This window comes from Homo sapiens, chromosome 6, assembly GCF_000001405.40.
Source record: "Homo sapiens chromosome 6, GRCh38.p14 Primary Assembly".
Lineage (NCBI taxonomy): Eukaryota > Metazoa > Chordata > Mammalia > Primates > Hominidae > Homo > Homo sapiens.
This window is the reverse complement of record NC_000006.12, coordinates 925,161-941,256: the sequence shown is the minus strand read 5'-3', so window position 1 is coordinate 941,256 and position 16,096 is coordinate 925,161. Positions and strand designations below refer to the sequence as shown.

Below are 16,096 nucleotides of genomic sequence, written 5' to 3'. Positions count from 1 at the left end.
TTTGTGAGTTCATAAAAAAAGGAGCAACAAGAATTTTTTCCACACTTTTCCACATTTTTATTCCATGAGTAGTTTCATAAGTAGCTTATTGACTGTGAGACCTGGAATCTCATAAAAAGTCCATAAAAATCCATCTGATGATAGTGGGCTATGTCTTTAGGAGTAAGCCCCTACTTGAGTTGGGGAATGGTTCCTTGCATTATAGAAGAATCTTCCAGAAGCAACCTTTAAACAAATGCTTACTCAATTAAACTCCAGTTCAACTCCCCAAAATTCCATTTCCTCCCACAACTCTCCACAAGAATTTCCTACCTTCTAAGTCTTTACCACCTACTGACTAAACCACGCCAACCAGTGGTGAGTGTGGCCCTGTTTTCCTCACGAGAAGCAGTCCTGGGAGGTAGAGCAGCTGGGCCTGGCTCTCGTCTTCCTGTCCAGGCCACTACTAGTGTAACCACCTTGTCCAGAGGGCCCCGGGTGTACCCAGCTGCACTTTCCATTGTGAATTCAGCATCACCATGGATGCAAGAGCCCCTGGGTCCATGGGTTTGGATTCTATCTGTGCAGATGCGTAAGGTGGGCCCTGAAATGGCAAGTCTGAGCTCCTCTTCCCATCCTCTCAGCCCCAAAACCACCTCCACTCAGTCCAACCTGCACAAAATCATAGCTGTACCGCCTTGTCACTGCATCCCCACAGCTACTCATCACTTTGGAGGAATGAGTTTACGCTCCAGTTCACAGGACTTCTGTTTTCCACCTCTGCCTTCATTTCTGCTATGTCCAATTGGGCTGCCCCGCTCCGTTTGCGATGCGGCCCTGTGTTTCTGGGCCAGCATCAACCAGGCCTCTGCCCAAAAGACACTGCTAAGGCCTGCTGGGCTGACGGACCTGGCGGCCCTTGAGTGCTAGCTGCTTTCCCCCCAGCAGGGGTGGGGCGGGGACAGGGGCCTGACTGCACATCTTTCTCCTCCTCTTCTTTCCCCAGAGATTCAGCCGCTCCTGGCCCATCCCTTTTCATGGGATTCATTTGTAATAAAGCATGTATATCGTGCGGCACGTTGAAGTCATGATTGAACAGAGGTTGAAAGAGTTTGAGAACCCCTGTGAGATGATATCTCAATGGGACCTGAGTGTGGGAGCATCAGCAGCACAGTCTCGGGGCAGGTGATGGCCAAAACTGACACTTGTGGGTTTCCAAACCTCTCCTAGGGTGGCAGAGGGTGAGGGAGGACTGAAGGTCACGAAGCCGGGGATGGGGACCCCTGCACTGCTCCCAGCCAGGCCTGAGAGGGGAGCTTCCCCCACACACCTGCAGCAAATCCCCAATGCTCACTCAACGAGTCCACTGCAGGAGCCATAGCCCAAGCTGGCTTTGGTCCCTTCCTGGGGCTGGGGAGGAAGGCTGGAAAGAAATCAAGAGGAGGAAGAATTGGGCATTGAGCGTGACCACAGCACAGCAGTGAGAACAGCTCTATTCCAAGGAAGCAGGACAGCTGTGGCTCACACGTAAGAACAGCGCCCACTTCCTGGCGCTGTCTGCAGCAGCACTGGGTGTGCACTGACCATGGGCTGGCACTGTGCAAAGTACAGCTGCCAGGGTTATGTGGGCCCTGGACACAGGCTGCCCAGATATGCCTCCCAAGCATTTCACCTCCTTTTCTTGTCTATACAACGGCCCCTGCATCCTAAGGCCATTTAGAGAACTCACTTAGTGAATAACAGAAAGCACTGAAAACAAGGGCACATCAGAATTCCTCAGGAAATGTCACTTCTTATTCCCTTCTCCATCTTACAAATGAACAAGAGGCTTAGGGACGTTCCATGATTTTTCCAAGATCACACAGCTAATAAGAGAAAGAGAACTGGAAGCGAGTTTTGTCTGGCCCATTGCCCATGCTCTCCGTGAACTTTCTTTCATTTGCACTTACCATGGGACCCCCGCCTCCTCGTCACCCTCCCCATGCCCCTTGCCAAGAAGAAAAAGAAGCAACTCCACTGTCATTTGAACCCACGTCAGCTCTGCCCCCACCACCTCCCTGTGCTTGGAGCTTGGCAGCCACCTTTTCCAAGGCACTTAGAAGGAAAGCTATTATTCAGGTCAGGCGCCTGAGTCTGGGGTGGGGACGCATGACTCAGGTTCAGGATTTCAGCCCCCACCCAGATCCCACTAATAGGAATTTAAATGAAAAGCCCAGGAGATTAAAGGTGGAAAAGGCCGACTAGAGATTTTGAAGTGATTTTTTTTTCCCCAGCAGAAGTTAAATGCCCTCCTTCAAAGCAGGTGGTTCTGGCTGGATGATCAGAAGTGCGGCTGATCAGGCCCCTGTCGAATGGCCAGAGAGAAGCCATCTGGGATCCCTTCAGTGCCCCTGTGTGTGGGCTTGGCTGGCCTCATGAACCACACAGGGGTAGGAGCACCTGATTTGCCGGCTGGGCATTGGCCTCTCTGTGGCTGAAGATACAATGCATTGGTAGAAAATGTGAGGTTCGGTAAGGCCAAAGTTCATGAAAAGACCATAGAAAGATAGTGTGTTACAGATCCCAGGAGGAGGGGGCACGCCATGCCAAGGGGGCCGCGTGGGGAAGAACGGTTGGGTCAGGAGGTGGGGGACTGAGGAGCTGTGCAAGGGCCTTTACTGCGGTTTCTGTGGAACAGGCAAGGGAGGGCACGCAGGGTTAGGATTGTCTCGTTTGGATAGTTTCAGCAGGTTCGGGGATGTGAGACCTGTCCCTAGTTATCTGTTACCTGGCCCTGGGGGATTAGGGCAGGGAGTTAGCGGCCTGAGTGTGAGACCCCAGTGGAGGAGGAGGTTGGGGCATGGGCTCTGGATGGGTTTGCATGTGAAAGGCCACGGTGAGTCAGGGCTGCATTAAGGGGAATAGGAGTAGCAGGAAGAGTGCCTGCCGGAGGCCGAAGAGACCTGAATTCCGGCTCCAGACCACGGTCATCCTAGCTCTATGACCCCAGGAAAGGCACCAGCCTCTCCCCATCTCAGTTCCCTTATCTACAGAATGTGGGTTTGGACTAGGTAGCCTTGGACTAAGCTTTTGAGCCTTCCACCTGTACAGATGCAGAATGAATACTACTTGTACAAAAATGGGTTTAGAAAGACACAAAAATACTTTCAAATATCCTTCTACTTGGGAGACAAAATGGTTTTGAACATCCTTATTCTTCTACACAGCAGCATTTGACTCCTGCAGAGCTGACTGTAACGAGAGATTTATCTCCTGCTACTTCTCTAAAATGTCATTTCTTCCAATGTCTCCCAAGTTTAAGCGCTGAATTTTAATGTCATCCTAGTCTAAACACATTATATTTTATACATGGATCCATATTGACAAAAATGTCACAGTTGCTTATTAACTTGATAGGATCTGAGCACAGGATCAGGTAAAGGAAAAGGTATTTTTAAAAATCCAAGGGTGATGTACCCTGAAGGGGCCTTTTCCCACTAGAAAGAGGCTCCAACCTCCAGACCAGGGCTTTTGGTTTTTTCAGATTTTTAATCACCAATCCAGTCCAGTGAATGGCTCCTGTTATTTGTTGCATGAGAAGAGGAAGAAGAAGAAGAAGGAGAAGAAGAAGAGAAAGAGAAAGAAAGAAAGAAAGAAGATAGAAGAAGGGGAAGGGAAAGGGGGAGAAGGTACAAGAGAAGGAGGGGGAGAAGGAGGGTGAGAAGGAGGAGAAGGAAGAGAAGGAGGAGGAGGAGAAGGAGGAGGAGGAGAAGGAGGAGAAGGAGAAGAAGAACTCCTTGGAGAGCTCCCTGGAGAGCTCTCAGTGAATGGCTCCTGCTATTTGTTGCATGAAAAGAAGAAGAAGAAGAAGGAGAAGGAGGAGGAGGAGGAAAAGGAGAAGGAGAGGAGGAAGACAAGGAGGAGGAGGAGGATGGAGGGGGAGGGGGTAGGGGGAGGGGATGGGGTGGGGAAGGGGAGGAGGAAAGAAGAATTGTGACTTCTGTAATTAATTGTCTGGAGGGCTGGAGATTTGCTCTCTTGTTTCACAGGTGAGGAAACTGATCAGTGAATCTGCATTTCCTGCCCGGGCAGTAGTGGAACTTGGATTAGAGACCTGGGTCTTTGGGCTTTTTTACCCAAGGGCCTCCACCTGGTATGTTTTCCAAAGTAGATTTAAGAAAGTCAACTATCTTTTCAACCAACAAAGAGAATTTTGGATAAACTCGTGCTAAGTAAGGAGGAGGTTAAGCTATATCAGCAGAGGTTTATGAATTTGAAGAACTAGTTTGGAATCTCAGTTGACCTTAAAAGCTCTTAAACTCGCTTTCAATGCAGGTGACACCGGGCTTGAAACTTTCACCTGCCCACCTGGCCACACAGACCACGCACCTGTTGTGCAAGAGCCCAAGAGGAAAACGCCCTGGAGCCTCACAGCAATATGTGAAAGGAGCAGAATATATTCTGCAGAATATATTCCAGGAGCAGAAGAAAACAGCAAGCTAGGAAAAGCAAGAGGCAGCGCTGGGGACTCACCTGCCCATATGGTGATTCCTATCTCTTCCCCAGACCTAAGAAGTCTGTCGTCGCTCCCTTCCCATGTGCCACTTCTTGGTTTTATTACTCCTTGAAGTTTAGTATTAAAATTTAATCGCCTCTAGAAAAGACACAATTATGAAGAAAATCAAAAGGATCAGTGGTGCCAGGAGGTAGACCTGGTCGACCAGGTCGACCACCTGGTCTCCCTAACAGGAGGTAGTGGGGAGGAAGGCATGAGTCGGCAGAGCACAGGGGGTTTCTAGGGCAGTGAGGTGATTCCACATATTACCATAACAGGGGATACAGGTCATTACACATTTGGCCAAACCCACGGAATGTCCAGCACCAGGAGTGACCCTAAGGTGAACCGTGGACTCCAGGTGATGATGATGGGCCAGTGCAGGATCCTTGATCATATCAGATGTCCCCCTCTGGTGGGGAGTTGATAATGGGGGAAGTTGTGCCTGTGCGGGGGCCGGGAGGGGCTGGGAATTCTCTTTTCCTTCCTCTCAATTTTGCTGTGAACCCAAACCTGCTCTAAAAAAAAATCAAGCCTATTAATAAAACACATAACATGGTAATACTATAAACATATTTAATTGGCTAACAAGGATCTAATGTAATACTGGGCAATTCCTATCTCTATGTGAATTCATCATGGCTGCCTAGAATGGATCGGAGTTTTGGAGAAGCGAGGAGACAATTTACGAATTGTGAGCGTGAATCTCTGTGGCAGACTGGACGGCATGGGGTGCATGGGTAGCAGAAGGGCCCTTGGGGCAGCAGAGGAGAGAACGGCCGACAGGAAGGTGTAGACAGACGAACACAACTCTGGACTGGCCATCAGAGACATTGGAAACAGATCTCCTCTTCCGAGGAGAACTCCCAAGACCTGGAATTTGGGCTGGAAGTATCAGTCCCCTGGTTCAGGTTAAATAGAACAGCTCTGGGGCCACACAACTGAACCACACGGACTGGGGTCACACAGAAGGCGTGGGGAAGCCAGGGGCTGCCCTGGGGCTGCTGGGGTGTGTACACAGTGTCCATTGCCTCAGCCTCCAGCTCTGATATCAGAGCCTGGGGAACGAGTTTCCTCCCTAACCCTGGTGCAGATTTGGAGAAGATTGCAGGTGTGGCTCTGGCCAGGATGGAACGCTCTTTCTCATGCCCTCCTCTCCCAACACGTACCTTAGCCTCCCACCCTGGGGTCATGTGCACAGTGATTACCAGCCAGTTGTGCCCCAGCTCATGGGGTTCTGTGTGCCAATCACTGTGGCATGTTTCATGGCCTCTTTTCTTGTCTCTGGATTCGGACACAAGTCCCTGGAGAGTGGAGTCTGCAGCCCAGCAGTGCCCGGCGGGTAAACAATTACTGTGAGTGGATGAATGCACGAGCCAATCTCCTAGACACAGCCTCTCCCACATCCCGTTGCTCACGCGCTCTCCAAAGCTCAGTCTGGCCGCCTGATTCTAGCGACCCTGTCCTCCCTCCTTCCTGCTTAGCTCTTCCACAGGTCATCCTCCAAATTTCAGCCACACGCAGCATCTGTGGGGTGGAATTCTGCTCACAGCCAGCATCCTTGCTTACAGAAACCTTTCTCTGGCTCCCCTGGAAACCTCTCTCCAAGTTCTCATCCTTTCAGGCCTCTTTCATGCTTTCTCCTCATGCTTCCTGTAGAGGTCAAACTCCTCTTCACCATCATATCTTTTTGTGACTCCAGATAAAACTTACACTCTCCCCTTTGCTCTGGCAGATTCCTGCAGGGCTTTGGCAGTGGACTGACAGACACCAGGTGACCTGCCTCTCCAGGAGGATGGAGCAGAAGCCCTGCCAGTGTCCCCTGAAGGGCAGGGCTGGGGACCGCATGAGGACAAGGCTGGAGAGTATCCAGAGCCTTGTGGGCAGTCTCTCCAGCCTCCATGCAGCCACTGCGCACACACCCACAACAAAGAGGCATGTGCCATTCATCCATTTAGCCTGAGCCGGGTTCAAGGAGCTTCTGCTCAGGATAATCATGTACAGTTGCACAGTTCTTACACTGAACAAAGACAGCAGGCTGAAATCCATTCTACACTGTACTCTGTGTGCCCTGGCAAAGGGATGCTTTTCTAAATCTGGACAGACAGGACTCATTTTCCTAATTTGCACACAGCTACCTTGTAGGGTAGTAAACCAGCTCTCCCCACCTCACAACTTCTCTCTTGTGTTACTGCTGCATGCAGGGCTTTGATGACAAGTCACACAGGTGTTCTGTGTTTACCAGCATCCCCCAAACCTTGCACTACCAATCCCCCAATGCAGAAGCACAGGAGACAGAGTTGAGCCTCTATTTCCTACACTTTGCCTGTGCGACAGCCTTACAAGTTGTGGAGAACATTGCACATGCTGAACCTTTAACGTGGACGATGAATCCTGTGAAGTTAGGGACCCCAGCTGTTCTGTTCCCCACCTTCCTAGCAAAGCCCCCAGCACACAGACGGGGCTGCAGCAACGTCCATTGAATAGCTCAGACATCCACTTGTCTGCAGGAGGCTCTGCTCCCCCATCCTTCCCCCAGGCCTGCCTGGTCCCTTGGGCTGGCACTTATGCGTCCCACAGCATTTGGTTCTTGATCTTTTCCTTGGTGAAACCTTCCTTGCAACTCCTGTACAAAGCTCTTTGGGATCGGACCCATATGCCATGCCCATGATGGCTGCCAACTGTGGGTCCCCTTTCTATCCTGTTCAGGCGTCAAGGACAGGGGCAATGGCGTCTTCATTTTGTGAGTCCAATGCCCAGTGCACTGTTTAGACTGCGGAGAAATGGGTCTTCAGTGATTAAATAAGAGTCCCTAAGATTTTGCTTCTGAGAATCTTTCACATCTTTAATTAATAACAATAATAATACTTAGTTACTGCGTTACATATTTTCCTTATCTTGAATTGAGAAACATTTCAAACATACAGAAAAGCAGAGTAATACAATAACAACTACCACCTTCTACTGAGGCCAGACAAAAGCTAATATTTACTACGTTGATGCAGGCTTTTTTTTTTTTTTTTTTTTTTTTTCAAAATAAAGCACCATGAATACAGGTAACTACAGATAAACCTCTCTGTCTCCATTTCCTGTCCCCCTGACACAACTTCTCCACTCAAGTTGGTGTGGCTTCATCCATGTATATTTTTGGCTTTTACTACATATGTATGTGTTCAAAAACTATGAACTCTTCTGTGTATTTAAATATTACATATATCGGATTACATGGCATGAAACATTTTATAACTTGCTTTTAAAAATTTAACACTTGAAATTTTTCCAGGTAGATACATGTAGATCCAGTTCATTCATTTTATTTCAAAACTGTATTATTTCAAAACTAGAGTTTATCAATTCCATGAAAACCTCATCATTATGCACATTCTTGTACTAATCTCCTGGTTCGGGGTACAAGATTTCTCTAAGATATATCCCTGGAGGTGGGACTTCTAAGCTGTGGATAATATCCAGCTTTAATTTTACCAGATATTGCCCGAGTGATTTCAAAGTTGTAACAATGTGCACTATAACTGGACTCTCTAAGAGCTCTGTGCCCTGCACGACTGAGACTGAAATCACAAGCAAGTGTCAATGAATCTCAAGCATGTGAATGTGGAAATGGAGATCATCCACCAAGCCCTGCACCACACCCACTGTTAGAGGGTAGCTGGCCAATGGACTCAACGTGGACCGTGCCTCATTTAATTTGCATTCGCTCAAAGATCTTCACATATACATTGGCTGTTTGGATTTTGTTCTCTTTCAATTCCTTTTTAATTTTTTTGCCATTTTTCTGTTGTTCTTTATTTTTCCTTTCCTCATCTCTTTAAGGAAGTATTTTTTAAAAATATTCTGAGTACTTGTCAGTTTTATTTATTACAAATAACTTCATCCACTCTGTGGCTTGTGCAGTTTTCCTCCAGTGAGGTTATATATTTCCCATACTGTAATTTCTGGGCTGGGGTCAGGCCTGTAATCCCAGCACCTTGAAAGGCTGAGGTAGGACTTGAGCCCAGGAGTTTGAGACCAGCTGGGAAACATAGTGAAGCCTCATATCTACAAATATATGTATATACAAAATATATATTAGCCAGGCTTGGTGGCATGCACCTTTAGCCCCAGCTGCTCAGGAAATTGAGGTGGGAGAATCACCTGAGCCCCGGAGGTTGAAGCTGCAGTGAGCTGAGATTGCTTCACTACACTCTAGCCTGGGCATTGGAGTGAGACTCTATGCAAATCAAAACCACAGTGAGATACCATCTCATGCCAGTTAGAATGGTGATCATTAAAAAGTCAGGAAACAACAGATGCTGGAGAGGATGTGGAGAAATAGGAACGCTTCTACACTGTCGGTGGGAGTGTAAATTAGTTCAACCATTGTGGAAGACAGTGTGGCAATTCCTCAAGGATCTAGAACTAGAAATAACATTTGACCCAGCAATCCCATTACTGGGTATATACCCAAAGGATTATAAATCATTCTACTATAAAGACACATGCAGACGTATGTTTATTGCAGCATTGTTAACAATAGCAAAGACTTGGAACCAACCCAAATGCCCATCAATGATAGACTGGATAAAGAAAATGTGGCACATATACACTATGGAATACTATGCAGCCATAAAAAGGATGAGTTCATGTCCTTTGCAGGGATATGGATGAAGCTGGAAACCATCATTCCTAGCAAACTAACACAGGAACAGAAAACCAAACACCGCATGTTCTCACTCATAAGTGGGAGCTGAACAATGAGAACACGCGGACACAGGGAGAGGAACATCACACACTGTGGCCTGTTGGCTGGTGGGAGGCTAGGGGAGGGACAGCATTAGGAGAAATACCTAATGTAGATGATGGGTTGGTGGGTGCAGCAAACAACTTTGGCACGTGTATACCTATGTAACAAACCTGCACGTTCTGCACATGTATCCCAGAACTTAAAGTATAATAAAAATGTTTTGTTTTAAAGACCCTATGTCTGTGTAATTTGATCTCTGGAAAGATTATTTTAGCTTTTGGAGGGTAAGTTACTGAGGAAGCCCATGTATAATAAACCAACTAAAACACACTTTTATACCAACCCACAAACTTCGTCGGCACTTATCAAACAATAAATAATTAAAAATCATCCTTGGCAGTACAAAATAAATTTAAATAATAATTCCTGAAGTGATTGTGGCTGGGATTTTTGTCCTGTTAGCTCTTCAGATTTTCTGATTGATATTGATGACATATATTATCATTTTTCAGCTTTCGTATTTTATTCAGCAACTTTAGTGAACTATCTTGTAAGTACTCAGGGAATAATGTGAGTTACATTTTTTTCTTTCCATTTCTTATAACTCTTGTTTCTGTCCTTGTCTGAGACATGTCGGAGATATGACTTTAACAGGGATGTTTCTAAAGTTTGACCAATCTGTCATGTTTGCTGTGCTTCTGATAGATTCCACTTTCTAGTGCACCTTTCACAAACTGTGTTGGTAATTTCCTTTCCCAGGAATTTCTCTTTCGACCTCCATTACCACAGTAACTTGCTTAAGATTCATTTATATTTGCTTGTGATTCCAATCTCAGCTGTGTTTACTCTTCCCTCGACCTTTCCAATTCTAATATTTTTGTAAGGACTTTTCCCTTCTCTCTTCTGCATATCACTTCTCTATATGTTTCTAATAATATTTGCTAGGGGTTTGTTTATATCATGAGCCTATTCCAATGAATAGATTTTTCCGTTTTAATCTTTTGTGTTATTGTTTTCTTTTTTATTTCAATGATTTCTGATCACAATTTCTTCCCTTCTTGTTTCCCTAGTTTGTTAGGTCGCTCTTGTCCTAATTTCTGGAATAAGAATATGAGCCCATTAATTATTTTTTCTAATGTAATTATTTAGGATTATAAATATTCCTTTAAGTATTTCTTTAGCATTATATCAGAGGTTTTTCATGTAGTATATTCATTGTGGATCAGTGCTAAACGTTTTAAGATCACATTGTCACATTTTAATTGATTCTTCCATTGTTAGTTTTTGTCTTGAGTTATGTTTAAATTGTTTAAGGTGCATTAATTGTAATTGTACAGTTTGATGGATACTTATTTACATCTATGCCTATATTTAACCACCACCCAGCTCGGATGTGAAAATTTGCTGGGCTTCAGAAGTTTTCCTCATGCACTTCCTAGTCTATAGCCATCTCCCTGCCCCTGAGAAAAGTACTATTTTCTACTTGTGTAAGAAAGTATTCGTTTTGCCTATTCTTTTGCATTTCCAAATAAATTTGAGAATCTGCTTCTCAGTATCTTTAAGAAACCAGTTGAAAATTTGATCGGGGATTGTATTGAACCTGCAGATCAATTTGGGGAGGTTTGACATCCTACAGTATTGAGTCTTCCGAAGCAAACATGACATGTTTCATCACTCACATAGGTCTTGGGCAATTTTTGTCAACAACGCTTTGTATTTTTCAGTGTAGTGATTTTGCATATCTTTTCTTACATAGATTCCTAGATATGTAATGCTTTAGTTGTTACTGCGAATTGTACATTTTAAATTTAATGCTCCTCTTATCACTTGCTAGAAAATAAAAATGCAAATAAGTTTTTGTTTGTTTTGAGACGGAATCTCGCTCTGTCGCCCAGGCTGGAGTGCAGTGGTGCGAGCTCAGCTCACTGCAAGCTCCGCCTCCCGGGTTCACACTGTTCTCCTGCCTCAGCCTCCCGAGTAGCCGGGACTACAGGTGCCCGCCACCACGCCCAGCTAATTTTTTTTGTATTTTTAGTAGAGACGGGGTTTCCCCGTGTTAGCCAGGATGGTCTCGATCTCCTGACCTCGTGATCCGCCCACCTCGGCCTCCCAAAGTGCTGGGATGACAGGCGTGAGCCACCGCGCCAGGCCCCAAGTGAGTTTTGTGTATTAGCTTTCTGGTGAGTTTCCCGTGAATGTGCTGAATCCATGTATCAAACCAGCAGCTTTCTGTAAATTCTCCAGGATTCCTTATGTACACAGTTTGGTTCTTCCTTCCCAAACTTTATGTCTTTTAGGTATTTTTTCTGCGTTAGAGCACTGACTAGGATCACCAAGACAATGTTGAATAGAAACGGTGATGCTGGACACATTTACCTTCCCTGATCTCAGGGAGAAAGCATCCAGTATATTCATCAAGGGTGCTGGCAGCAGAAGCACCCTCATATGCCTGGTTTGCACGAGTGGAGGATATGAACAAACTTTTAGTTTTACCAAATGCTTTTCCTCCACATCTATGGAGATGATCAAATGGTTTTCTCCTTTATTCTGTAATGTTCTGAATTCTGTTGATAGATTTTGAAATATTAAACTTACGTTGCTAGGATTAATCCAAATGGGTCATGTTATATATATATATATATATGAATTTGATTTTAGGTTGGCAGTTTTATTTTTTTATTATACTTTAAGTTCTAGGGTACATGGGCACAATGTGCAGGTTTGTTACATATGTAGACATGTGCCATGTTTTTGTGTTGTACCCATTAACGCGTCATTTACATTAGGTATATCTCCTAATGTTATCCCTCCCCCCTCCCCCCACCCCACAACAGGCCCCAGTGTGTGATGTTCCCCTTCCTGTGTCCATGTGTTCTCATTGTTCAATTCCCACCTATGAGTGAGAAAATGCGGTGTTTGGTGTTCTATCCTTGTGATAGTTTGCTGAGAATGATGGTTTCCAGCTTCATCCATGTCCCTACAAAGGACATGAACTCATCATTTTTTACAGTTGCATAGTACTCCATGGTGTATATGTGCCACATTTTCTTAATCCAGTCTATCATTGATGGACATTTGGGTTGGTTCCAAGTCTTTGCTATTGTGAATAGTGCTGCAATAAACATATGTATGCATGTGTCTTTATAGCAGCATGATTTATAATCCTTTGGGTATATACCCAGTAATGGGATGGCTGGGTCAAATGGTATTTCTAGTTCTAGATCCCTGAGGAATCGCCACACTGACTTCCACAATGGTTGAACTAGTTTATTTTTCTTTTTGGCACTTTAAAGACAGCATTGTACTGTTTACAAGACTCCACTGATGTTGATGAGACGTCATTTCTTGTTTGGGACTGATATGGTTCAGCTGTGTCCCCACCCAAATCTCATCTTGAATTGTAGCTCCCATAATCCCCAAGTGTCATGGGAGGGACCTGGTGGAAAGTAATTGAATCATGGGGGCAGATTTTTCCCATGCCGTTCTCATGATAGTGAATAAGTCTCCGGAGAGCTGATGGTTTTATAAAGGACCATTCCCCTGCACACACTCTCTTGCCTGCTGCCATGTAAGACGTGCCTTTGCTCCTCCTTTGCCTTCTACCATGATTGTGAGGCCTCCCCAGCCATGTGGAACTGTGAGTCCATTAAACCTCTTTTTCTTTATAAATTACCCAGTCTCTGGTATGCCTTTATTAGTAGCACGAGAACGGATTAATTCAGGGACACTGTTCGCTTGTAGGAAAGATGTTTTTCTCTGACTGCTTTGAATATTTCATCTTTATGGTATATTTTCAGAATTTGACTATTTATGTGTCTAGATGTGATTTTCTTGTATTTACCTGGCTTGATGTTTGAAGAGCTTTGCAAACATAAAAAAAGTTAATGCTATTTAAATAAATTTGGGGCAATTTCAACCACTATTATTTCAAATGCTTTTTTATTCCAGCCTGTCTTTTGTGAATTTATTACATTCATGTTACAGTGCATGGTAGGTCTCCAATACCGATGAGCCTCTGTCTATTTTTAAAAACTCTTCCCTTTTTGTTCCTCAGATGAGATCATTTGTATTGACTGTCTTTAAGTTTACTGTACCTCCTTCTATTGTTTCCAATGTGTTATTAAGTCATTCAGCACTTTTGAAATTTCAGGTACTCTTCAGTTCTTGAATTCTCCCTCAACTTGTAGGGAGTGTGTGTGTACAACATCATGCTGGATGTAATAGGCAATGCATTGCAAGGATTTGGGATTATGTTGTCTTTCTTTAATGGGCATTAAAACTTCACTCTGACAGACAAGTTTCTGGCAAGCTCATAAGTTTGTCAGGCTTTACTTTATTCTTTACTGGAGTTGTGTGTTTTGTTCTTTACTGGAGTTGTATGTTGTTTGCTTTATTCTTTACCGGAGTTTTGTGCTTATTCAGGCCTGTGGACCATTCTCAGGGGTGTAGTCCTTGTTCCTGGGACCTCATCTGAATGTCCCACATCCTCCCTGCAGTCTCTCCAGCCAGCGGGTGCCCTGTGTCCTGGGGATCTAGAGTGGCCCCTTCAACCCCTCAGCTCCACAGTGGCCGCTTGCCCTCAGGAGCCTCATGGAATCTCACCTGTGCAAAGCACAGCACAGCCATGAGCTGAGGACACACGGCTGAAGTCCGCAGACCCCGGGGCCCTCCCGTTCCTCATCTCCGGTGCCTGCCCCGGTGTCCCAGGCGTTGAGCAGTGCTCCCGTCACCTCTTCAGTGCAGCAGGAGCGCTGAGCTGTGTTTGTGCTCATCTCCCTGAGTGACCCAGAAAGTACCTCCAGGGAGATGGCCAGGGTGAAAGTGTGGCTTAACTCATTTTCCCTGCTCTTCAGGGCCATGGTCCTGCACTGCCTGCTGTCCAGGGGCGCATAGATTTTGTTCAGTTTTATTGTTTCTCACCACACGTGTGGCTGGTAGCAATGACTCAGCCAAGACTGGAAGCACTGGACCTGGGTTTAACCCCCAGGCCCCAGGATGGCTCCATCCTCTGACTGCTTCTTGTCCAGCAGCTCCTTCAGCACCTGATTACCAGGACAGTGTGGTGGCCAAGAGCCCGCCTGCCTGGGTTCTAAGCCTGCTTCCACCCCCAGGACCTCTGAGACACCAGGTGAGAACCTCTGTAGCTCTGTGCCTCAGTTTCCCGGGCTGCAAAACAAGGATGGTGATAGCGTCTACCTCACAACGTTGTTAACGGGGATCAAACAAGTTAATCTCCATAAAATACTTAGAACACTGCCAGGTACAGCACACCTTCTCAGTGAATATTAGCTGTTATCATTGATGCTGCTTTGCACTTTTTGGACAAATTTAACTGTTTTTATTTCATTATTTAAAATACATTGTTTATTTTAGAATAGTTTTAGATTTACAGAAAAATTCAAAGATGACATAGGGAGTTCTCTTCAGCTCACAGCCTGTTTCTCCTGCACAGTTATAGCGTTCATTTGGTACAATTCAGGAATGAATACTGACACGTTATCAGCAACTGAAGTTCATATTTTATTCAGATTTCCGTATGGTTTGCCTAATTTTCATTTTCCGCATCAGGATCCCGTCCAAACACCACATTACATTTAGTTGCCACATCTCCTCAGGCTCCTCTTGGCTGTGACAGTTTCTCAGACTTCCTTTGTTTCTGAGACTTTCAGAGTTGACAGGAACACTGCTCAGGTATTGCTCAGATCTCCCTCAACTGGGATTTGTCTGCCTTTTCCCTTGTGATTAGACAGGGATGCTGTGTTCTACGTAGGAGGGCCATAGGGGTGAAGTGCCATTACCACCACAGCCTTTCAAGGGCACAAACAAAGGGCGAGTCAGCAGGACTCAGCCCTGCAGATGCTCACCTCCAACACCTGCTGAGGACACAAGCCATCCTCAGGACTCACCCCCACGGAGCCTCACCTCCCTCACCTGCTAAGGACACAAACCATCCCCAGGACTCACTCCCACTGAGGCTCACCTCCATCACCTGCTGAGAACACAAACCATCACCAGGACTCACCCCTGCTGAGGCTCACCTCCTTCACCTGCTGAAAACACCAACAATCCCCAGGACTCACCCCTGCTAATGCTCACCTCCATCACCAGCTGAGAATACAAACCATCCCTAGGACTCACCTGCTGAGGGAGAGAGCACCAGCAGGACTCACTGCTGCTGATGCAATGAGTCACCTCCATTACCTGGCTCTGGGAAGACCTTCTCTGGTTTTATTTAAGTGGATCTGGCCCTGGCTGTTCTTGAACCAACAAAGTGGGAAATTTCTTGGAAGCTGCAAATGTGCTAATTATTTACAACTTCCTATTGCCTAGCATAGTAGTATGCACACTCAGGAAATGTCTTTTACACTATTTTCTAAGAATGCAGTGGGACTTTATTCCATAGAAGAGGAAGGCAAAGGCTGTGACAGGCATCTTTCTCATTGTGAGCTGCTGCCAAAGCCAGTGCTCCTGTGTATCTCCTGGGTGAGGGTTTCCCAAGGGGCCTTTTCACTCCTGAGGCTCAAGATGAATTCTTCCAGTTACTGTCTCAAGCTCTGAATCCAACTTGATCTCAACTCCAGGTAGGTGCTCTCAGGTATGGAGAAGGGAAGAAAAGGTAAAAATTAATAAGGGCTTCATATAACTCTGCAACATCATGGGGCTATGGAGCGTGTATCTCTTGTAAATATTTGAAATTTCTGTAATTCTATCTTGAAAACACCTCTAAATTTGCTGGGTTTTTTTCCGACTAATTATCCTCTTTAATGGACTCTATAAATAGTTTAAAATATCTGCTTCTCCTTGACCTTCCTGTGAGGAAAATTATTACTGGAAACAATTAT

General features: G+C 45.5%; 2 annotated features.

Annotated features, from left to right (window-relative positions):
* Positions 13,435-13,931: an enhancer, noted in NCBI's record as "H3K4me1 hESC enhancer chr6:927575-928075 (GRCh37/hg19 assembly coordinates)". NCBI's record gives its function as "activates a minimal SCP1, AML or CMV promoter by ChIP-STARR-seq in naive H9 embryonic stem cells {active_cell/tissue: H9 hESC(naive)}" and the evidence as "EXISTENCE:reporter gene assay evidence [ECO:0000049][PMID:30033119]".
* Positions 13,932-14,432: an enhancer, noted in NCBI's record as "H3K4me1 hESC enhancer chr6:927074-927574 (GRCh37/hg19 assembly coordinates)". NCBI's record gives its function as "activates a minimal SCP1, AML or CMV promoter by ChIP-STARR-seq in naive H9 embryonic stem cells {active_cell/tissue: H9 hESC(naive)}" and the evidence as "EXISTENCE:reporter gene assay evidence [ECO:0000049][PMID:30033119]".